The sequence below is a fragment of the Homo sapiens genome, chromosome 17, assembly GCF_000001405.40.
Source record: "Homo sapiens chromosome 17, GRCh38.p14 Primary Assembly".
Lineage (NCBI taxonomy): Eukaryota > Metazoa > Chordata > Mammalia > Primates > Hominidae > Homo > Homo sapiens.
This window is the reverse complement of record NC_000017.11, coordinates 62,522,698-62,548,340: the sequence shown is the minus strand read 5'-3', so window position 1 is coordinate 62,548,340 and position 25,643 is coordinate 62,522,698. Positions and strand designations below refer to the sequence as shown.

The window sequence follows — 25,643 nt, the reverse complement described above, 5'->3', positions numbered from 1 at the left end:
CACTGCACTCCAGCCTGGGTGACAGAGTGAGACTCCAGCTCAAAAAAAAAATAAAAATAAAAAAGACACACACACACACACACACACACACACACACACATATATATATATATGGCCCAATGATAAGTAAAATGCAAAAGTAAACTGAGGAAGTAGGCAGTTAGGAAGTTCAAAGTGTGAGCACTTAACTTCCGTGGAATACCGTAAACAAAAAACAGTGTGCGCACTTTCCTTAACACCATGCTGCAGTATAAGCATTTCTGCTCCAATACACTAGAAGGGTAAAGAAAAGCCTCAAAAACTTAAAGCACATTCCAAAGGACTTTAATTACCCATAATGCAAGTTCTGAATATAATACAAACAATCAGATACCAACAGAGAAATAGAGAAGACAAAGGGGAATCATAGACTATCTAAGGTTACCATTTATTCCTATGCAGCAAATACACCCCTCCATTGGTTATTGATCATCAGCCTACCCGGGTCTGTCTGTGCTGGATAGAGATCTGCTTTTGGGAGTTGTAGGAATGGCTCTGTGTTGCCAGATCCCATAGAAGAGGGATCCAAAGGCCCTTTACAGATTTCTTGATATATGGTATATGGGTTTAAATATGCTTATTTCTGACTCTAAGTTGTCTTCCAGCAAACTAAGGGTGTTAGATGTTTCCAAATTAAAGCTTTCTGTAAAAATACACATATAAATAGCTCATTGATAAGTAAAAATGCAAAAGTTAACTGAGGACGTTGGCAGTTAGGAAATTCCTCAGTTGGGAAGCAGAAAATCCTCATGAAAATGAAAACAATGTTTTCAAAAGGTAAAAGGTACTACACAATATAGGGATCTCATGTGACAATGCTCAGATCCGTTAGAGAAAAAAATGCTGTAACTGATCATTCATTCAACATTAAATGTGACCCTCTGTGCCTGGTCCTGTGTTAAAATCTAGAAATGCCAAACTGGAAAACAAAGAGACTATGTTACCAAAAAGAAAAAAAAAAAAAATCCATGCCAACACCTAATCACTCTAATCCCTCATTCCACTAAGCTAAATACATTTTCAAGACAACCCCAACAGCACAAAAGGAAAAATCCAAGACGAAAAAACAATACCTAATCATAAGAGTTAAAAGATAATTCAATAAACAACTTTAAAAGTAAAGTATCAGTTTAGCACTTGATTTTCAATAGTTTATAGTATGAAATGACAAACTGCTTTGGTTCATTTCATAAACTGAAACTCTGCATTTAGATAACTGTATTAAAGGTTCTTAAGATGAAAAAAATAAAATAGGTTCAGAGAGGATCAAAAGTATACTGTAGCTACAAAAATTAAAAAAGTAAAGAACATGAATAATCAAATTGACAAAATAAGATTATCAAAGTTTAAAAATTTAATAGGTGGGTTAAATATCAAAATGGACACAGCTGAATACACAGCCAGTAACCTAAAAGACAATGTCAAGAAAATCTCCCAGAAGAGGCCGGGTGCGGTGTCTCATGCCTGTAATCCCAGCACTTTGGGAGGCCGAGACAGGTGGATCACCTGAGGTCAGGAGTTCGAGACCAGCCTGGCCAACATGGTGAAACCCCGTCTCTACTAAAAATATTTTTAAAAATTAGCTGGGTGTGGTGGTATGTGCCTATAGTCCCAATTACTCGGGAGGCTGAGGCAGAAGAATCGCTTGAACCTGGGTGGCAGAGGTTGCAGTGAGCCAAGATCACGCCACCGCACTCCAGCCTGGGTGACATGGTGAGACTCAGTCTCAAAAAAAAAAAAAAAGAAAGAAAAAGAAAATAAGAAAATCTCCCAGAAGATAAAACAAAAGGTTAAATGGAGCACAAAAGAAAAGAAACATGAATAGCACAGAGACCCTGAAACTATCTAATGGCTTTCTAGAGAAAAGAACAGAGGAAATGAAATAATCAAAGAAACAGTAAAACAAAATTTCTCTGAAATAAAAAACCCTTTTCATTATGTAAAAAAAAAAAAAAAACAATCAACAAACTCAAAATAGGGAACTTTCTCAGCCGGGTGCAGTGGCTCACGCCTATAATCGCAGTACTTTGGGAAGCCAAAGCGAGCTGATAGCTTGAGCTCAGGAGTTCCAGACCACCCTGGCCAACATAGCAAAACCCTGTCTCTACAAAAGAAATTAGGACATGGTGTGGTGGCTCATGACTGTAATCCCAGCATTCTGGGAGGCCAAGGCGGGCAGATCACTTGAGGTCAGGAGTTCAAGACCAGCCTGGCCAACATGGTGAAACTCTGTCTCTACTAAAGATACAAAAATTAGCCAGGCACAGTGGTGTGAGCCTGTAATCCTAGCTACTCAGAAGGCTGAGGCAGGAGAATTGCTTGAATCTGGGAAGCAGAGGTTGCACTGAACTGACATCCATGCCACTGCACTCCAGCCTCAGTGGCAAAGGAAGACTTTGCTCAACAAACAAACAAACAAACAAACAAAAAATCAGCCGGGCGTGGTGGCACACACCTGTAGTCCCAGCTATTTGGGGAGGCTGAGGTGGGAGGATGGCTTGAGCCCAAGCAGTTGAGGCTGTAGTGAGCCACAATTAGGCCACTGCACTCCAACAGCCTGGGTGACAAAATGAGACCCTGTCTTTAAACAACAACAACAACAACAACAAGAGGAACTTTGTTAACCTAAAAAATGACCACCTCTGAAAAACATACAGTAAACATGATACTTTTTCTCTTTTTTTTGAGACAGTCTCTCGTTCTGTCATCCAGGCTGGAGCGCAATGGCACAATCTCAGCTCACTGCAACCTCCGTCTCCTGGGTTCAAGCAATTCCCCTGCCTCAGCCTCCCAAATAACTGGGATTACAGGTGCACACCACCATGCCTGGCTAATGTAATATTTATTTTTAAAGACCTCATATTTTCCCTTAAAAATCATGAACAAGAAAGACAAGGATGTCCCAGAAAAACTGGATGATACCTTTTTAACTTTAGCTAATATGTTTACACACAGAATTTTCTTTACAATTAACGTTTTAAAACTTGCTTAAACCTTTAAAACAATCCCAGCACTTTAGGAAGCTGAGGTGAGTGAATCACAAGATCAGGAGTTCGAGACCAGCCTGGTCAACATGGTGAAACCATCTCTACTAAAAATACAAAAAAATTAGTTGGGCATAGTGGCAGGCACCTATAATCCCAGCTACTCGGGAGGCTGAGGCAGGAGAATCGCTTGAACCCGGGAGGCGGAGGTTGCAGTGAGCTGAGATCGCACCACTGCACTACAGCCTAGGCAAAAGAGCAAGACTCCATCATGACAGATCAACATACAAAAATCAATTGTATTTCTATACTCTAGCAATGAGCAATCTGAAAATAAAACTAAGAAAACTATTCCATTTGCAATAGCGTAAAAAGAATAAATACTTAGGAATAATTTTAACAAAAGAAATATAGGACTATATATTGCAAGTTGCAAAACATTGTTGAAAGAAATCAAAGGGTCCTAAATAGATATTTTGTGTTCATGGATTGAAAGACTTAATACTGTTAAAAAGGCAATACTTCTCAAATTGATCTACGGATTCAACACAATTGCTATCAAATCCTATCTGGTTTATTTATAGAAACTGAAAGGATGATCTTAAAAATCACAGGGAAATGCAACAGATCCCAAACAGCCAATACAATCTTGAAACCCAACAAAGTTGGAAGGCTTGCACTTCCCAATTTCAAGACTTATTACAAAGCTACAGTTATTCAGACAGTGTGGTCCTGGCATAAAGACAGGTGGTATGGTTTTTTCTGTGTCCCCACCCAAATCTCATGTTGAATTGTACTCCTCATATGTCAGGGGAAGGGTCTGGTGGGAGCTGATTGGATCACGAGGGCATATTTCCCCCTTGCTGTTCTCATGATAGTGAGTGAGTTCTCACGAGATCTGATGGTTTAAAAGTGCATGGCACTTTCCCCTTCACTCTCTCATTCTCTTTCCTGAGAAGAAGGTGCTTGCTTCTCCTTCACCTTCTCCCATGACTGTAAGCTTCCTGAGGCCTCCCAGTCATGCTTCCTGTTAAGCCTGCAGAACTATGAGTTAATTAAACCTCTTTTCTTCATAAATTACCCAGTCTCAGGTAGTTCTTTGTAGCAGTGTGAGAATGGGCTAATATAACAAAGATATAGATGGAGCAGATTTAGAGTCCATAAATAAACCTCTTGCTGTAAGTCAGTTCATTTTTGAAAACGGTGCCGACAGTTCAATGGTAAAAGCACAGTATTTTCAACAAATGGTGCTGGGACAATAGGATATACACATGCAAAAAAAATGAAGTTGGAACTCCTTCCTCATACCACACACAAAAATTAACACAAGATGGAAAAAAGACCTAAATATAAGAGCTAAAAGTATAGAACACATAGAAGAAAATATAAGAGTAAATTTTCTTGACTTTAGGTTAGGTGAAGCCTTGGCTACAACACTAAAAGCATAAGCAACAAAAGAAAAAAAACAGATAAATTGAACTTTTCTCAAAATTAAAAACTTCTGTACTTCACAGGACACCGTCAAGAAGTAAACTGACCACCCACAGAATAGAAAACCTTTGCCAATCATATAGTTGACAAAGATCTAATATTCAGAATATATAAAGAATGCTTAGAACTTAACAATAAAGGCAACACAATTTAAAAATGGGTAAAGGATTTGAATAGTGATCTCTCCAAAGAAGATGCACAAAAGCCCAATTAGCAAATGAAAAAATGCTCAACATCACCAGTTTTTTGGGGAATGCAAATCAAAACCACAATGAGATGCCACTTAACACCCACTAGGATGGCTATAATGAAAAAGAGAGACAATAGCAAGTACTGGCAAGGACATGGAGAAATTGGAATGTACTGCTGCGGGGAATGTAAAATGGTGCAGCTGCTGTGGAAGAGTCTGGCAGTTCCTCAAAAACAGTTACCATATGACCTGGCAATTTCACTCTCCAGCATATATCCAAAAGAAACGAAAACGTATGTCTACACAAAGTCTTATACATGAATGTTCATAGCAACATCATTCATAATAGCCAAGAAGTGGAAACAACCTAAATGTCCATCGACTGGTAAAAGGATAAAGCCGTGACCAACTGGCACCAAAAAAGAACGATTCTATTTACTGATGTACACCCATGAAAATCCATGAAGCCATGATAATCAAAGAGAAAGCTATTTGTCACAGCTATCAAACAACTCCCTACTTTAAAAGTTAAAAAAAAATTTAAAAGCCTCATTAGTAATTAAAAGGAAAGAACTAAGCATTTAGCCTGTCTTTCTAGAAATGTATGTCAGTGTAGAGCAACAGGCACAGATGATAAGAAAGTTCTATTTTATAGATGCTAATAGACATGTTATAATGCTAATTTCGCTATCTAGCAAAATGTTAACATGTTTTTTAAAAATGCCTATTTAACTATTTAGAGATAGGAGGTCAAGATTTCTGAATTGTATTTTAAAATACTTTGGCATAAAAAAAGCAAACTACCTTTTTAAAAAATCAAGTTTTGAAGAACATCTGCATAATGTTAAAAGACACAAGTTTTAAGGAAACAACAGACTTGCCATTAAGGGAAAAAAAGATCCAGTAGACCTTGACAACCAGAACTGTTTCAATCTAAACTAATTCAATGTCTCTCTTCTTTTCAGTGAGTCCAATAAAATCATTTGGTTTTGCAATGCCAAACAATGAAACAATCATAATATTGTAAATGTTCCTTCTTTTCAAGTCTTAGAATAATTTACAAAGCAGAAAAGACTCAATTGTAGTTAAAATAACAAACTAAATATCAAACACTCATACTGTAACAATAACTAAACAACTGAAAAAGAAAGAAAGACTGGGTGAAAGTTATGTTAAATTTGTCTTTCATAACGAGGAGTAAACAGATCTTACTTAAAGTTGATTAAATAAGGCCAGGTACAGTGGCTCAAGCCTCTAATCCCCACACTTTGAGAGGCCAAGGTAGGAGGATGGTTCAAGACCAGCCTAGGCAACACAGTGGGACCCTGTCTCCACCAATAAATAAATAAGATTAAATAAGGAACACATTATTTGACATTAAAATGGTAATCCTTAGAAAATCCAAAACACAAACTGTTAACAGTAGTTATCTCTCTGAGAAATCCAAGGGAAGAATTTTACGCTTCTCCATCTCCTCAATTTCTTGCGGGTCATGTGCATGTTCTATTTTCATAATTTAGGAAACTATTTGCTTATGATTTTCCCTGACAACATTCTCACCAATAGAAGAGGAAATGACCTTTTTCTAATCCCTCTACATCTCCCTTCTTACTGGATCTTTATGTATGTTGTAATGCCATAAAGTTAAAAGTGAGAGGTCAGCTCAGATATCTTATTCTCTAGCCTGATATATATTGTCTTTGTACAAACAGATAGTCTTCATACTGGGAGCTAGTGTGGTGGTACAGAATGAGCACTAGACTGTGAGTCCAAATACTAATTTTTTTTTTTCTTTGAGACTGAGTCTCACTTTGTCACCCAGGCTGGAGTGCAGTGGTGCAATCTCTAGCTGCAGCTACTGTGGTGCACTCTAGTTGCAGCTACTCTGGAAACTGAGGCAAGAGAATTGCTTGAACCCAGAAGTTCCAAGGCTATAGTATGCTATAATGCTATGATTGCACCTGTAAATAGCCACCGTACCCCAGCCTGGGCAACATAGCGAGACCTCTCTCTTAAAAATAAAACCTCAAATTTCCTATGTTAAAACATAGAATTATGTAATAATTTTAAACATTTAAAAGATCAAATTCTTAATATTCTGCCACCTGCTATTTTTATCAACACATATTTAGAAATCTTTCATTGGTGTATATACAGCTACCTCACTTCTTTTGCCAGCTGTATAGCATTCCACTGTACAAATATATTACGATTCATTTAACCAGTCCTTCTATAAAGAATGCTTTTACTAACTCATGCAACATATAATTACACTGAGTGCCTATTAGAGCAGGTCCCGTTCTGGGCATTAGAGATACACAAGTGAACAAAGCAAAGTCCTTGACCTGATGGAGCTTACATTCCAGTGGGGGGAAGTCAGACAAAAGTCCATCATAGTACGTCAGCTGGTGTAGACTAAGGAGAAAAACAACGCAGGGCCTAGGAGCTCAGTAACAGGTGGGATGGGTGGGGAGAAGTTGCTATTTTATAGTGTGGCCAGGGTAGGCCTCTCTAATAGGGTAAATATAAGCAGAAACCAGAGGGAACTGAGAGAGCAGGGCATGATGATATATGGGTGAAGAATGTTAGGGCAAAGGCAACAGCCAACGCAAAGGCCCCGAGGTGAGAGCATCACTGAGAGAGAGTATTTGAGAAAACAAGGTGGCTAGCGTGCATGGAATCTGATGAGAAAGGTAGATGGTAGTAAAACATGTCAGGGTGGAGGAAAACAAACCATGCAGGGCCACTTTAAGGACTTTTCGACAGGGGAGTGGCATGACTGGACTTACGTTTCAACACAATCACTCTGCTTTGTTAAGAACAGATTAAAAGAAAACAAAGATCAAAGCAATGGGTCCAGTTATCTCAGTGGGAGACAATGGTTTAAGTTGGAGTGGCAGTAGTGAAGAGAATTAGAAGTGGTAAAATTCTGAACACAGGCCAGATGCAGTGGCTCATGCCTGTAATCCCAGCACTTTGGGAGGCCAAGGCGGGTGGATCACCTGAGGTTAGGAGTTCAAGACCAGCCTGGCCAACATGGTGAAACCCTATCTCTACTAAAAATACAAAAATCAGCTGGGTATGGTGGTACGCGCCTGTAATCCCAGTTACTTGGGAGGCTGAGGCAGGAGAACCGGCTTGAACCTGGGAGGTGGAAGTTGCAGTGAGCCCAGATTGCACTCCAGCCTGGGTAACAACGCAAGACTCTGTCTCAAAAAAAAAAAAAAAAAAAAAAATTCTGAACATATTTTGAAGGTAAAATCAATAAGCTTTACTGATAGATTTGGATTTGGCATATAATATAAAAAGAAGAGAAAGACAAGAATGACTCCAAGGATTTTAGCTGTAACAATTAGAAGGAGAAAAGTTGACAGTTATTGAGATGTAGAAGGCTGTGGAAGTCAGGCACGGTGGCCCACACCTAAAATCCCAGCACTTTGGGAGGCCAAACTGGGAGGATTACTTGAGTTCAGGTGTTCAAGAACAGCCTAGGTAACACACTAATACTCTGTCTCTATTAAAAAAAAAAAAAAAAAAGAAAAGAAAGAAAGAAGAAGAAAGAAGAAAGGAGAAAGAAGAAGAGGAAGAGGAGGAGGAGGAGGAGGAGAAAGGCAGCTGTAGGAGAAATGGGTTTCGGGTGGGGAACAGAAGGAAGAGTTCAGTTTTGAACATGTTACATTTGACATGTTTGTTAGACATAGAAAGGAAATGACTGGAGGCAACTGACACAGGCCTGAAATTCAGGGCAGAGCCCTGGCTAGACGCATAAACTTGGAAGTCCTCTGCACATAGGAGTTAAATTTTAGTAACAAAGGAACTAGATGAGATTAAGAAGGCTGGGTGTGGTGGCTCCCGTCTGTAATCCCAGAACTTTGGGGAGGCCGAGGCGGGAGGATCACTTGAGGTCAGGAGTTTGAGACCATAGAGGTCAGGAGTTGACCATGTTGCCTGGCCAACATGGCAATACTCTGTCTCTACTAAAAACAAAAATCAGCCAGGCGTGGTAGCCAACGCCTGTACTCCCAGCTACTTGGGAGGCTGAGGTGGGGAAATCGCTTGAGCCCAGGAGATGGAGGTTGGAGTGAGCTGAGATTGCACCACTGCACTCCAGCCTGGGCAACAGAGTGAGACCCTGTCTCAATTGAAAAAAAAAAAAAAAAAAAGAGAGGGAGGTTAAGAAGAAAATGAAGGTAGATAAATGAGTCTGAAGACAGAGCCCTGGAACACTCTAATGTTCAGAGATAGAGAATGTGAGGAAAAATCAAGAGTGGAAGCCGAGTGAAAGACCGTATGCTTAGAGAAGAAAGAAGTGATCAATAGTTGCTAATGAATTACGTCAGATGAGGTCTGATGCGAAGGTCATATCCTCTGAAATACTGGAAGGGAAACTGCTTCCAGATTTTTTGCAACAATAAACAATACCTCAATAAATATCTTTGTGTAATTTTATGGGAATGGAATTTCTGGACCCAAGGATATGTAAACTTAACATTGAGATACATTACCAAGTTGTCCACATGACTTCAACAATTTATAGACAGAATAAAACTGAATATATCTCTAAACTATCACCTACACCAAGAACTATCAAACTTATTAATCCTTGCCAATTTGCTAGGTCAAAAATGTTATCTTGTTTTATTTTGCACTTCTCTATGGCCAAAATTGAGCATTATTTCATGTTATTAGCCACTTGCCTTCTTTTCAAAAACAGTCTTTGCCTACTTTTCTAAGAATCTGCTTTCCTTTGCTGATTTACACTTGTATATTAATACTAACCCTTTTACTATTTTCTTTCCTTATACTACTAAGCTTATATGCTGGCTGGTACTGCTGAGAAGCAAAGAGAAACAAAACTGTACCAGAGCATTTAGACTTTTGGTTTTCATACTGTTTCCATGTTCCTTCTTCATACATGATCATTTTGTTACTAGTCTCTGCCACCTCTTTCCACATGAGAACAACACGGCTATAGCATCTGCTACTCCTCTGATAACGGAGTGCGTCAGCTGATAGGACTAAGTAGGTGGTCCTTCACGTGCATCCACCACAAGCCTACATACCATACTTTTTACAGAAGATGGAAAGGGGAACAAGTTCTTGCTGACCAAATCTTGTGTATTTAACTATGCTCATTACACAGTGGGCACTCAGTACGTATTTGTGGAGTAAACAAACAGAATTCCTCTCAAGTGAAAAAGAGGTCATTTTAATGCCTTAAAAATGACCAAAAGACAAATAACTCCCTAATTATCCAAGGTTTTTTCTGGAAAAGTAAGATCCAAGATAAAGATTTAACAAAGGCCAGGCGCGGTGGCTCATGCCTGTAATCCCAGCACTTTGGGAGGCTGAGGCGGGCGGATCACGAGGTCAGGAGATCGAGACCATCCTGGCTAACATGGTGAAACCCCATCTCTAATAAAAATACAAAAAATTAGCCAGGCGTGGTGGCGGGTGCCTGTAGTCCCAGCTACTCGGGAGGCTGAGGCAGGAGAATGGCGTGAACCCGAGAGGCAGAGCTTGCAGTGAGCCAAGATCAGGCCACTGCACTCCAGACTGGGCGACAGAACCAGACTCCATCTCAAAAAAAAAAAAAAAAAAAACAAAGATTTAACAAAAGTAAGTGTATGATAAACATTAACAATCTCGAAATGTGTGAATGACACACATACATTCTTTAGAACAATACTATAGCATACTGCATTCTCAAAGGAACTATTCCATACTGCTGTCAGTCCCTCTCACAATATTATATAGGTCAATTCTCCCATTTTTAAAGTATGTATATTTCCTTTGTTACCTGGGGATAGGATATACTGTCTTCACACAAGAAGTTTCCCCATTCCTTTGATGATTAAAGATCAAAACACTTCTAACATTAAACACTGAAATAAAAGTGAGCTCTACATACATTTAAGTAAGATTAATAAAAACAAGTAAGATAATGATTTATCTGTTTATTCCAGTACAGAGTGGTGAAAAGCCAGAGCCTATCCCAGGCAGCTCAGGGTGCAAGCAGAAACCAGACCTGGACAGGAAGCCATTCTGTTGCACACACACACCTACACTCACTCAGACTGGGACTCCGTAGACACACCAGTGAACCTAATGCACACATCTCTGGGATACAGGAGGAAACCAGAGTGCCCTAAGAAAACCCACACAGACATGGAGAAAACACGCAAACTCCACACAGACAGTGGCGTCAGCTCACAGTGTCTAATTAACACTATCACGAAACCATGTTGAATGAAATGACGTTATTCAAGGAGCGTTGTATCTCTTTCTTAAGGTAAAGCTATCATAACTATAAGAAAACATTCCATATCATGCACAATAGTTTCCTATCTGGTTAACTGTTTTATTATTTCTATTTCCTTTCCTTAAGACAACCACCATTTTCAGCACCTTTTTGAACACAGTTGGTGGAGTGTGGATTGGAGACTTATAGACACCACAGGATAAATAAACAGGAAACTTAAATTATAACTGGACAAAATGAACCAGTAAGAGGGACAAAATCTGGATGAGTGGTGACTTAGTTGTGAAAGATGCCCCTGAAAGTGGAATAGGAATACGGCGACGGGGCTTTCTGTTACTCTGGCACCCTTGGCAACAAACAGGTGACCTGGCAGGGCCCAAAAACCAGGAAAAGTAACATTTGGTTCAAATTGCACTCATAGCGCCTTATGAAATGAGGTCAAACTTTCATAATACTCAAATTCTTGTTCTTCAAAGATAGAGAAAGAAGTAAGCTGAAAGGAGCGAACAGGTAGCCAAATATTCCTGAGAAAGGTTAAGTGTACCAACACTCTGAAGGGGTGAGAAAGCAAGTGTGTACATAGCCCAAATACTACACGGGGTAAATGACCAGTAACTTGCTGTGAGAATGCCTGCCTACATACTAAAACTGTACTGACTTGAGTATTAACTTACATAGATGATGGCTGGAACTCGGAGACTCTATTTTTAATTATATCTTGGTTACTAATGGAATTTGATCTGTATTTTCTTCTTTGTCAATCTAAGATTATGCTTTCCTTCCTTCCCATTGTGGGTTCAGGCTTTGACAAAGCAGTCTCCCTCAGGAGCTTGAACCAAGGGAGACTGGGAAAAACACAATATATTTAGAAGTGATGTAGAATTAGACATGTTTGGGAATGATGATAAGGGGAGATCACATTTTAAAAAAAAGTATTAGAAATGTCCCTATCTCTCTATCAAAATAATTAATCCAACCTCATCAAGGAGCACTAGGGCAATGGAAAGGATATGAATTAACTTAGGCTTTGTACTCACTGAAACAAAAGTGAAGCAGAGGCCAGCTCCCCTTTGCGCCAGCTGCTCTGTGTCAAGCCGAGGTTTTGCTAGCATCACTGACATGAGGGTTGGCAGAGCAGACTGCTCCTCCGTTGCCTCCTTTGCAGCACTGCCATCTAAACCATAGAGGGGCTGTTCTACTCGTCGCTGGAAAACAGTAAAGAAACACACAAATGACATGAGAAAGATAATCTGATACTGCCCAAACATGCAACGGGTTAAAAACAGTTATCAAATATAAGATGAATGGTTTATTTAAAAAGGCCTCTCTAAAAATAATTATGGAGAGCATACCAACATTATCATTGTATTATAACCTATCTAAAAATGTGACTATCTTACTCAAATTCTTTGACATTATATTTTAATGGTTCTATATTTATGAGAGTCTGAATTTACATGTTACTTTGTAGAATTCTACAAATCAACTTCATAATGCCCTCAACCCTACACAGGAAATATTATTTCTATCCTGTAGGTAAATGAAAATTAAGACATTGTCCCATGACTTTTTTTTCTTTTTTCTTTTTTCTTTTTTTTTTGAGATGGAGTTTCATTCTTGTTGCCCAGGCTGGAGTGCAATGGAGAGTCTCTGCTCTCACTGCATGCAACCTCTGTCTCCTGGGTTCAAGCGATTCTCCTGTCTCAGCCTCCCAAGTAGCTGGGATTACAGGTGCCTGCCACCACGCCTGGCTAATTTTTTTGTATTTTTAGTAGAGACGGGGTTTCACCATGTTGGCCAGGCTGGTCTCGAACTCCTGACCTCAGGTGATCTGCCCGCCTCAGCCTCCCAAAGTGCTGGGATTACAGGCATGAGCCACCGTGCCTGGCCTGTCACGTGACTTTATAGGTGAAGCTTATTTCACTCTCAATTCTGTTCTTGCTGTACTATATTTAGATGCAAAAATCTAAAATAAATGCAAGCAAAACAAGTTCCACAGTATACTAAAAGGATAATACATCACAATTACGCATAACTCACTCCAGAAACCTAAAAATGATTCAACATTAGCAAATCTACTAATGTAATTCATTACATTAACTTTAGGGAGGGATAAATTAAGATTCTTCCTGTTGGATACCAAAAAGGATACACACACTGTTAGGCAACTCTTAAAAGACTGGAATTGGCAAGGCACAATGGCTCATGCCTGTAATCCCAGTACTTTGGGAGGCCAAGGCAGGCGGATCACTTGAAGTCAGGAGTTCAAGACCAGCCTGGCCAACGTGGTGAAACCCATCTCTATTAAAAATACAAAAATTATCCAGGCGTGGTCGTGGGCACCTGTAATCCAAGATACTCGGGAGGCTAAGGCAGAAGAATTGCTTAAACCCAGGAGGCGGAAGTTGCAGTGAGCCCAGATTGCGCCACTGCACTCCAGCCTGGGTAACAGAGAGCGACTCTATCTCCAAAAAAAAAAAAAAAAAAAAAAAAGACTGGAATTATCCACTTTTAATGCAATGAAGAGTATGTTTTTCAAAAATTAAAATATCATAATTAATGGTGCTAAGACTGGAGACCCTTTCAATTAAAGCTAGAAAACAAGACAAAAGTAACACATTCTCATATTAAACGTTATTATGAAAGTTTTAGCCAATGTAAAAAAGAAAAAAATGAAGTAAAAATATTAGAAATTAAAGATTTTTAGTGTCATTTTTGGATGATATAACCATTCACAAAGGAAACCAAGCAAATCAATGGAAAAATTACTATAACAATTAAAAGGAGCTCAGTAAGATGGCCAAATACAAAATAAATACACTAAAATTGATAGCTTCCCCAACTGATTTTAATCAGAGCATGTAACAGAAGGAAAAGCAGATTCAAAGTAGCAAACAAAAATCTGTAAAATACTTGAAAGCAAACTTAAGAAACATGCAGAACACCTTTGAAGAAAAACTATACAGCTTCACAGATGAATATAAAAGATGATCTAAGTTAAACGGTAATATCATGTTCCTGGGTTCAGATTCTACAAACATCAAATTTCTCTAAAACCCAAGTTTAATGTTTTAAATTTTGTGTTTGGCCTTTTTCTCTTCCAAGGGGTAGTCTTATGGTGGTATAGTGGTCATCTAGGTTCTCTCTCATGCTTTCTTGGGCAGTTGTTTTTGTAGAATTTCACAATAAATTCTAAGGTTCACTTAAAAAAATAATCATAATCAGCCACATAATTTTTGAGAAAAAGTATCAGGGAAACTTGACCGGATAGTGAAACATACTACAATGTTACATTAACTAAAACAGTATCATACAGATACAGAAGCAGACAGATTGACCAGTGGCACAGAATACAGAATTCAGAAACAGATCTATATAATATAGATATATAAGTTGTGATTAATGTGCATTTCATATTAGCGGGAACTTATTAAAAAGATGGTAGGACGTTTGTGCAGATATTAGAAAAAAAGGGAAAAGAAGATTCCTACCTTTTATCATATATAAAAAATTACAAGAAGAAAAAATAAACAAATGCTTTTAGAATTTTCTAGTGGTAAAGGACTTTTTAAACATGACATTAAAAATATAAACCATGGGCGGGGCACAGTGGCTCATGCCTGTAATCCCAGCACTTTGGGAGGCCGCGATGGGCAAATCACTTGAGGTCAGGAGTTTGAGACCAGCCTGGCCAACGTGGCAAAACCCTGCCTCTACTAAAAATACAAAAATTAGCTGGGCATGGTGGCACATGCCTGTAGTCCCAGCTACTCGGGAAGCTGAGGCATGAGAATCACTTGAACGCGGGAGGCAGAGGCTGCAGTGAACCAAGATCACACCACTGCACTCCAGCCTGGGCTACACAGCAAGACCCTGTCTCAAAAAAAAAAAAAAATTACACACACACACACAGACACACACACACTGGGCTACACAGCAAGACCCTGTCTCAAAAAAAAAAAAAATTACACACACACACACAGACACACACACACACACACACACACCCCGTATAGGAATACACCATATGGGAACATCTAAGAATAAGACAAATCCCATAAGTCATAAAGGAAAAACACTGATAAATTTAACTACTTCAATTTTTTTGCATCTGAATGGTAAAAGTCAACATAAAGTTAAAAGACAAGATTACAAACAAGCAAAAATATTTACAATATAACAAATTAATAATATAAATAATTTATTAAATCTTAATAAATAATGCTTTACCTATCAGTAAAACAAAAACCAAAACACACAAGTATTTCAAAAGAGACATATGCAAAGGACCTGAACAAGCATTAAAAGAGAAATCCAAAAGGCCATTAAACATATGATGTTTAATATACATAACTAATGAACAAATGCAAGTTAAAACAAGGTATTTTTCTTTATGCCAAAGGTTACAATGATAAAATTCAGTATTATTAGCAGGGTGTGAAAAAATTGGTACTCTCAAACTGCTAATAACCTTCTAGCAATTTATGTGATGACATTTTTAAATGATCATATTCTGACCTGGGAATTACTATTAGGGGATTTATCTAGGAAAAATGCGTAAGTTAATAAGTATGTATAAGGATGTTCATTGCAGCACTATTTATAGATATAAATGCTTACAAGATACTGGTTAAATAAACTAATACAATGGAAATAAGAAAACCTATTATATAAACATACATGTATATCTCAAAAAGTCTAGAAATATTTGCCCACCATACTCTCTAATAACAGTTCTTTTGGAGGGAACTTTCTATTTCACCATTTCTGAATTGTTGAACTTTCATAATCTGCATGAATAAAGGAAATAATTTTCCTTAATCAGGAATAGTTCTTTAACGTTTTCATGTCAAAAAAAATAAAAGTAAAATGATCCTGACAAAGAAATTAGTTTTTGAATCTATGAGTAGAGTCCTACCCCAGCAAATGTAACAGTTTAAACCCAGGCTCCAGAACACCTGTGATACCCATTGATGACAACATTCTCACTGCATGGGAGAACGAGCTGCAACAGTAAAATTAAACCTTCTGCCATATATTCAATAAATACCTGCCAAGGATTGAAAGATTTAAAAACATTTCTGTAAATACACTATGTAGGCTACAGCCTTTCCTGTTTGAACCAACGTCTCCCTGGGGGGGGAAAAAAACTATACAGATAGGATAAAATATGGGCGAACAACAACAACAACAACAACAAAAAAACATTAAAAGCACTGAAGAGTTGATAAAGTATTAGGGATCTGCCAGAGCAAAATCTAAGGGAAATTAGGAACATAAGACAGGTAAAAGAAGTACCAAAGCCACATATGGCCTAAGGGCACTTGCAGATCTTGAATTTCCATTTTCAGGGCAACATGGTATCAAGCAGATAGTCACAGACCAAAGCCCACCCAAGGGAGAGGGTTCAATAGGAAACCCTTCCCACTTCAAGCTGGGCCTCCAAAGAGCTACCTACATTCTCAAGGAAAGGGTAAACCAAAAGAAAAATTACCCCCACCCTCAGATGGCTGCCAGGAAGTTGCCTTGGCAGTGTAAGAGTTGGGGGTTGTCTTGAGAAATGTTGACACAATCCAAATCAATATTTCCTAGCAGTTGAAATAAGCAAACAAAATAAACTAAACAAAATATAAGCCATAAATTCACTAAAGTGGTATATAAAAGAGGTAAAATCTCTAGGTACTCGGAAGGAGCAAATAAAAATTTTCCCTGAATTAACACATCTTCATTCATCCTAGATCTTGAAGAAACCCCCCAAAAAATTTTTCAAGAACAATGAGGAGTACACAGTTAAAAAACAAAGCATAAAAGAAATAAAGCCATGAACAACAACTAAGAAAAACAAGGGACACCAGAAACAGATTCATAAAAGCTTCAGATGCTAGAATTATCAAACAGATTATAAAATAATTGTGTCTACCATATTTTAAAAAATAAAAGACAGGCTTGAAAATATCTGCAGGAAATGTAATTCTTTTTCTTCAAAAGGCAGTAACCAATTCAATAGAGCTAATAGCAAATTAGAAACAATAAAACAGGATCTGGGAACTGAAAGGCAAGAAGAAATTATCCATGATGGAGTATATAAAGACAAGAAGAACAAAAATACAAAAAAAGTCAAAAGCCATGGTAATAAAATTAGAAAGTATAATGTATGGTTAATTAGAATTTCATAAGAGAAGGAAAAAAGAACAAGTCAGAGATAATATTCAAAGAGACAATGGCTAATTATTCAGAACGGATGAAAGATACCAACCCACAAATTCCAGAAGTCCAAGAAATCACAAGCAAGAGAAATGAAATGACACATCATCATAAAACTACAGAACACCATAGCTAAAGACTTTTAAAGCAGCCAGGGGAAAAAAAGCAGATACCTTCAAAGAAACAACAGGCAAATGACAGCTGATTTCTTAATAGTAACAATGGAGGGTTAGAACATGGTAATGAATTACTGCTCAATTGTGTTAAAAGAAAAAAAAAGAAAGCGAACCTAAAAATATACACAGCCAAAAATACCTTTCAGGAATAAGAGCAAAATAAAGTTATTTCAGTAAACAAAAACCTAGAGAGTTAATCTCTAGCAGATATATTCTAGAAGAATACTAAAGGAATACTTAGGCAGAAGGAAAGCAACCCCAGGTGGAAGGTGTAGGATGCAAAAAGGAAAGAAGTACAAAGAGGTAAATACATAGATAAACCTAAACGAACACTGATAGCACTGAACAGTAATATTTTATGAGACCAAAAAAAGGCAAAATAAAAACATACACCACTACCACCAAATCAGTAGCAGAGTAAACAGTGTTCTGGGGACATTATTTTATTTGGTAGAGGATGAAGATACAACTGACTTCAAATTTTGGCATGTGGTAATTTATTCTTATTTTTTCTTTTCTGGGGGTTTTGAGACAGGGTCTCACTCTATGCTACAGGATGGAGCGCAGTGGTGTGATCATGGCTCGCTCCAGCCTCAACCTCCTAGGCTCGAGGAATCCTCTCACCTCAGCCACCTGAGTAGCTGGGACTACAAGGTGCATGCCACCATGCCTGGCTAATTTTTAAATGTTGTTTTTTGTTTGTTTGTTTGTTTGTTTGTTTCTGAGACAGTCTTGCACTGTCACCCAGGCTAGAGTGCAGTGGTGTGATCTCGGTTCACTGCAACCTCTGCCTCCCGGGTTCAAGAGATTCTCCTGCCTCAGCCTCCTGAGTGGCAGGGATTACAGGCACCTGCCACCAAGCCCAGCTAAGTTTTTGTATTTTTAGTAGAGACAGGGTTTCACCACATTGGCCAGGCTGGTCTCGAACTCCTGACCTCATGATTTGCCTGCCTCGTACAGACAGGGATCTCACTATATTGCTTAGGCTGGTCTCGAACTCCTGAGCTCGAGTAATCCTCCCACGTGGGTCCCCAGGTCTCCCAAAGTGCTAGGATTACAGGCGTGAACCACCACGCCCGGCGGTATGTGGTACTTTCTAAGAGAAACACCAAAGACAGCCTAGCTACTAGCAGAGGAGGAAAACAGAAAATGACTTAAAAAAAAAATCCAATCTAAATGGAAGCAAGAAATTAAAGAAAAAGGAACACAGAACAGGCAAGATAAATAAAAAACACATTAAACAATGATATATCTAAACTGAATGTGGTGGTAATTATATTGAATGTAAATAGGATAATAAAAAATTTTAGACTTAAGAGAAAAAAATCTAATTATATGGTATTTGCCCAAGATAGAAAACATAATGCAAATTTGACAGTATTAAGAATGGAAATAGTTATACCTCACAATGATTTGGATATATTAAATATCAGATAAACCACATTTAAAGCAAAGGGCTTCAGCCAGGCTCAGGGGCTCATGCCTATAATCCCAATACTTTGGGAGGCCAAGGCAGGCAGATCACTTGAGACCAGGAGTTCCAGACCAGCCTGGCCAACATGGAGAAAACCCAACTAAAAATACAAAAAGATTATCTCGGCATGGTGATGCATGCCTGTAATCCCAGGTATTTGGGAGGCTGAGGCACAAGAATCACTTGAACCCAGGAGGCGGAGGTTGTAGTGAGCCAAGATCGTGCACTGAACTCCAGCCTGGGCAACAGAGCAAGAACCTGTCTCAAAAATAAAAATTAAAATTAAAAAATAAAGCAAAGAGCTTTAAAGAGATGAAGAGAGTCATAATACATAAAACAAAATTTAATATAAATGTAAGAAGAAACAGACAACTTCCACAATCACAGCGAGAGATACAAATATACACACCGCTCTTAATAATTGATAGAACAGCCAAAAATAAAAATACCTAAGATTTAAACACTGAGTTTACCTACTGGCAAAACTGAACTATTTTGTTTATGGATTCAGACATGGATAGTTTAAACTACACGAAAACAAAAATGATTACCACAAAAACCAGCCAAGTGATCACTTCTAGGGTAGTGGGAGTTGTGATCAGGGAACAGCATGTAGGTTTCCAGCTGCTGGAAATAGTCTACCTTCCTATGTAACAATTACATAGAGTTAACTTTATAGTGATTTTCTGAGAGCTTTTTTGTGAAGGACCAGACAAATATTTTAGGTTTTGCAGGCCACATCAGTCTCTGTCATATATCCTTCGTTTCTAAAACCTTTTAAAAATCTAAAAATCATTCCGAGCTTGCCAGGCGCAGTTGCTCACGCCTGTAATTCCAGCACTTTGGGAGGCTGAGGCGGGTGGATTACTTGAAGTCAGGAGATAGAGGCCAGCCTGGCCAACATGGCGAAACCTCGTGTCTACTAAAAACACAAAAATTAGCCAGGCGTGGTGGTGCACACCTGTAGTCCCAGCTACTCGGGAGGCTGAGGCAGGAGAATCGCTTGAACCCGGGAGGCTGAGGTTGCAGTGAGCCAAGATTGCGCCACTGCACTCCAGCCTGGGGGATACAGTGAGACTTTGTCTCCAAAAATAACATAAATTAAAATGAAATAAATTTAAAAAAATAAAAATCATTCCTAGCTTGCCAGCTGTGACCTGTCTTTTGCCAACTCCTGCATGAAAACTTTCATGTTTTACATACTTTATTTTTTATATTTAACACAAATACAAAATAATCTTTTATAGGGAAAAAGGTGAAAATAATTTTTTATCCATCTATTCTTCCCTGTCAGCACAATTTTGAACACCTATTGTGTCCCAAGCACTGTTTTGGATGCTGGAGACTGAAAATGAAATAAGACATTATTGCTTACATGTCAAGTGGGGGAAATTAGTTTAAAAATTACACCTTTATGTAACAAGAGACAGCAGTAAACAAAGCAAAGCAAAATCCCCATTCTTATGAGATTAACATTCTAGGCTGGGCACGGTGACTCATGCCTGTAATCCCAACACTTTGGGAGGCCGAGGCGGGCGGATCACGAGGTCAAGAGATCGAGACCATCCTGGCCAACATGGTGAAACCCCGTCTCTACTAAAAATACAAAAATTAGCTGGGCGTGGTGGCGCGTGTCTGTAGTCCCAGCTACTTGGGAGGCTGAGGCAGGAGAATCGCTTGAAACTGGAAGGCGGAGGTTGCGGTGAACCAAGATCGCACCACTGCACTCCAGCCTGGGCAACAAAAGCGAAACTCCGTCTCAAAAAAAAAAAATCTAGTCGGAAGATGGGCAATTAACTAATTATATAGTACAAAATTAAAATATATAAATTATTAAATGAAAATTAAACTTATAACACACCAATGAAAATAAATGACCTATAAAATACACAATGAAATGGATAAACCTCACAAAAGTAACGTGCAACAAAAGGAGCTAGACACAAGAGTATACACTGAATGTCTTTTACACAAGATACAAAAAAAAATTCATCTATGTTGTTAGAGGTCAGGCTAGTGGCTAGCCACAGCGGCAGGGAGGGGGTTAGTAACTGAAAGGGAACTCAGGGGGACTTCTGCAGCACTGGTAATATTTCTTGTGCTTGTAGAGTTTGTGAAAATTCATGCGAACTGTAGACTTACAATGTGTACTCTTCTGTACGTATAAATATGAATCAACAAAAAAATTTAAATATATATTAAAATGTATGTACATGGGTGTGTCAAGTGCCAATAACTTAGAATTAAAATAAAGTACAGTTAGGAACAAATTGACAAGGTATGAGGGACTGCTATTTTAGAGAAGTTGGCTAAGGGAGACCGCTTAGCTAAGGTCATTTTTGAGCAACAACCTGATGAAGAGATTGCTGGTATCTGAGAAAAGAATGTTCCTGGAAGAGGGAATAACAAGTACAAAGACCCTATAGCAAAAGCGTTTTTCACAGAGCTCAAGGAGGCCAGTGTGGCTGCAGTGGCATGAAGGAGAGGGAGAATGGCTGCAGATGTCAGAATCAGGTGGACGATGGGAAGCACAGATCACGCAGGAGCTTTTAGGTCACATAAAGACTTCAGTCTAGGAAGTGTTGAGCAGACGAGTGCTGGGATGTGTCTGAACATTTTAACAATTACTCGGGCTATTACATTAAGACTAGGTGAAACAAGGGCAAAAACAAGGAGACTACTTTGAAAGCTAATGCAGTGAACTGGAAAAATAGAAAAGTGGTCATATTCTAATATATTTTAAAGGAAAAACAGGATTTTCTGATGGATTACATTTGGGGCATGAGGCTGTGACCTGAAAAACCAGATGGTGTAACCTGTCATTTACCAGGACAAGGCAGATTACAGGAAGAGCAGTTCAATGTTATTGTTATGGTAGGGAAGGGAAAGCAAGAGTTCCTTTTTGGACATGCTCAAGCAGTACAAGTGGAAATGTCAAGTAGACAGCTGGATACATAATTATTGGGGAGACCAGACCCCATGTGAAGGGCTAGCAAGTTCATTCATCTCAAAGGCAGATGGATGTGGGTACTGATGCAAGGAGCTTGGCAAATCTGCAGTAGGAGCATGTGGAAATGCTCTTCTGATTGTTTCTATTTTCTCAGTAACATAAAAAAGGAAGGCCATCAGTTAGCAGAAGAATTGCTGGAGGTTTGCAGGAGATGACAAAAATAGGACATATTCATGGAGGAAAGGGAACTAAGTAGAAATACAGTAGGACTGGCAGGCAGTGAGAGGTATACATGAGGCCAGTGCTCATGACCAGATCAGTCAGTCACCTTGGTGTATGTGTTTTCCTCCAACCATGCTGAGTTGCCTAGAGGCAGGCAAGGAAAAGGTGGAGGATTAAGCTTTGGTTTCTATTTTAACACCTCATCTATACTCAGATTTGCATGATGATGAGGCTCAGCCACATTCATATAGCTGGCAAAAATGTCTACAGATCATTGAGTTCATCTCTTTTGTCTTCAGGTAAGATTCAACCTAAACTGACACATGAGAGATGGGTGGTCACACCATTAAAAACCAAATGAAAAAGGCATTTCAGGAAGAAAAGAGTGATAGACAACATCGAGAAATTCTACAAAACGTATCTGTCCCAAATAGATAATCTGCAATCTCATTTAATATCTTTTAGACTTTAATTGGTTTGAAACTTAAGAAAAACAGAGACACAGGCCTCTTCAACAGTTAACTAACAAACCTCAACCTGCCCAAATTGGATCTATGATCAAACAAACATTTCTAACATTTTAAACTATGGCCAAGGATGGTCTGACACAATGGCTAATGCCTGTAATCTCAACACTTTGGGAGGTGGAGGCAGGCAGACCACATGATCTCAGGAGTTTGAGACCAGCCTGGGCAATATGGTGAAACCACGCCTCTACAAAAAAATACAAAAATTAGCCGGGCGTAGTGGTACATGCCTGTACTACGAGCTACTCAGGAAGTTGATTTGGGAGAATCACTTGAGCCTACGAGGCAGAGGTTGCTGTGAGTCATGATCGTACCACTGCACTCTAGCCTGAGTGACAGAACAAGACTGTCTCAAAAAAAAAAAAAAAAATTACATATATATGGCAAGGATGACACAGTAATAGCCAAAACTTCTTAGTTGTTTTCATAAGTTTAACTTATGTTTTCATAAGTGCTTTAATAATTACAATAATCCTAATGAAGGTTTTTATGAGACAGTAGAGGGGGAGAAAGTACATTTTAAAATACTTTAACAATACAGAAGCCTAAATCGCTTAGGAAATGAGTACTATTACACAACTCTACCAAGGCAAAGAAAAACAACTTTCCTAAAAATCAGTGATCTAAAATAAAAACTTCTGTCCCAGAGACCCTGTCTCCCAAGATCCCAGAGGCAATACCTAAGGTATTAGGGGATAGAGCACACTCTTGAGTAAGAGGTCTTACACAGTATCAACAAATAATGCGAAGACACTGGAGCAAATAAACATAATCCTATGTTAGCTTACTCAGGAATTCTCAACCTTGGCACCACTGATATTTTGGACCAGGTAATTCTTCTTTGCAGGGAGGCTGTCCTAACATTACAGAATGTTTACCAGCATCCCTGACTTCTGCCCAGTAGATGCCTATAGTGTCATCCCCATACCTCCGAGCAGTGACAACCAATAATGACTCCAGTTATTCACAAATGTTCCTGAGGGGCAAAACTGCCACCAACTGAGAACCATTAACTTAGGTATAATGTTTTTAAGACCTTCAGATCTCTTTTACAGGCTGGAAACATACCTATCACAAATCTGCATAGCATTAGTTTTTCTAGTACATTACTGAATAAGCTCTGGAGATAACTCAATTATGCCAGAAGCTGGTCAAATTTTAAAATAAAAATAAACCCTAAAGGAACATACAAATTTGGCAAGGGAAAAAACCTAATGTTTCGATTGGAATCAATTCTTTGATAGACTACTGAGCTGTAGGATTAGAGGTAATTTATTATATAGAGATATTAGGATTGGCTCTTCTGTAAAAAGCTAATTTACTGACAACAGATTTGAATCAAAGTAAGGGATTCATAGGTAAAACTATGAACTTTTCTCCCTAATGCTTCATTCCCTGTGGGTAATTAATGAAAGAGAAACTTTGCTTGAGTGTTTCTGGGCATCTTGTCTCCTACAACAGGTGTCAAATTTCTCCAGGTGAATGCTTACCGGTAAGGGATTGGATAAGGAATGTTGCGGTGAGGATCGTGCAACTGGTGGAACACTTCTGCCAGGGCTGGTTCCTGGCGCGCTTCCCCCAGCAAACTGGCCAACAGGGAAAAACCGATATGAATAATTCAAAACAGTACTATGCTTCAGATAAGGAGAGTAAAAGATTAATACACAAACAGATCTTAATTATATGGCCCCTTTAAGTTAACACATCTTACTCTAGAGAGAAAATGCCACACAAGTCAAATTCTGCTAATTTTTAATGAGATTTTTAAGAAGGAGCTCCAGCAGAAATATACCAAGATATAAAGAAAACATGGCTAGAAAGCTGAAGGTATACATGATTTTGAAAGGACATGAGAGAAGAATGTTTTCCCTTCTTGTCTCCAAATACACGAAGCAGAAATGCAGTGGTGCAGTGGATGTTAGTGTCTTTAGTAACCACTAACGATGGGTCAGGGAACTCACTACATGTTCCACTGTACTAAAGGGAGGAGGACAAAAGAAGAGTCCAAGTCATTCCACCTCAATCTTTGTAAGACACAAAACCTCGTCTGGCCAAGAGAAAAATCACCTCATTTGTGAATTCTTATATCATCACAGACAAGACACATAATAAATTTAAATTTAGGAAGGCAGCAGCAGTTTTCTCTTATTGAGAGATGGGGCAGCATTAACTGATGAAGATGGGGAGAAAGGGAAGAAGAGTACAGTAAAGGCAAAACATTACTTTCTTTCTTTCTTTCTTTTTTTTGGAGACAGGGTCTCACTGTCACCCAGGCTGGAGTGCAGTAGATCATGGCTCACTGCAGCCTCGACTTCTCAGGCTCAAGTGATCCTCCCACCTCAGCCTCCCAAGTAGCCAGGACTATAAGTGTGTGCCACCACACCTGGCTAATTTTTTCTGTTTTTTGTAGAGACAGGGTTTCCCCATGTTGCCCAGGTTGGCCTCGAACTCATGGGTTCAAGCGATCCTCCCATCTTGGCCTCCCAAAGTGCTGGGATTACAAGCATAAGCCACCTCGCCTGGCCAAAATATTACTTTCTAAAGCCTCAAATGAACACAAGGATTTAGGGTTTTTTAAAAAAAATCACTATAGAGTTTTTTTGTTTTGTTTTGTTTGTTTGTTTTTTCAAAAAATGTAACTTACCTCAAAGTAATCACTAATTTTATGTCCCCTAGGAGTGCCTTTCCCTGAAAATGAAACCAAAGTAAATACAGTTTTTCCAATACACATATAAACCATCATTCACTAAAATGTACTATACATTCAGTAACTACATACATTGCTATAAACCCAAGTGTCAGCTTTACTTGTAACAAATGAGCCAAAATACCTTAGCCCAAGAACAGACTATTTCCTCCATAAAATAAAGGACTGAACAAGCAGTGAAAGGAAGAATTTTTCACAGCTTTAAGATTCTGTAATTTTTCTTGTCACTTTGGGAGAATTTTGCTCCCAAAGACAAAATGAATTATCTGTAGATTTTAAAAGATAAGAAGGATGCAACAAGACTGGGCTTTCTATTCCTTAGAATGGGAGGAAAAAAAGCCAAGCCATTTTTTCTTTCTTTGATTATATAAAGATATTTGGCATTATAACCATCATGTTTACAGATTTATCCCAATG

The 25,643-nt window shown here is 38.6% G+C and overlaps 1 protein-coding gene across 43 annotated transcripts in view, besides 1 other annotated feature; it reads right to left on the bottom strand.

The window, feature by feature from the left end:
• The window catches only part of TLK2 (tousled like kinase 2), a 144,568-nt gene that overhangs the window by 67,141 nt on the left and 51,784 nt on the right, over nucleotides 1-25,643 (bottom strand). For 21 of the 43 annotated variants that reach the window (XM_024450552.2, XM_024450553.2, XM_047435179.1 and 18 more), the window contains exons 5-7: nucleotides 25,164-25,207; nucleotides 24,010-24,105; nucleotides 12,004-12,171 (exon numbers count right to left, since the gene is read on the bottom strand). In XM_024450552.2, the coding sequence (XP_024306320.1) occupies nucleotides 12,004-12,171; nucleotides 24,010-24,105; nucleotides 25,164-25,207 (308 nt within the window). The remainder of the gene's footprint in view (nucleotides 1-12,003; nucleotides 12,172-24,009; nucleotides 24,106-25,163; nucleotides 25,208-25,643) is intronic. The other 22 variants (XM_011524221.3, XM_047435182.1, XM_047435180.1 and 19 more) reach the window with 2 other exon arrangements.
• Nucleotides 2,380-2,880: an enhancer, noted in NCBI's record as "H3K27ac hESC enhancer chr17:60622822-60623322 (GRCh37/hg19 assembly coordinates)". NCBI's record gives its function as "activates a minimal SCP1, AML or CMV promoter by ChIP-STARR-seq in naive H9 embryonic stem cells {active_cell/tissue: H9 hESC(naive)}" and the evidence as "EXISTENCE:reporter gene assay evidence [ECO:0000049][PMID:30033119]".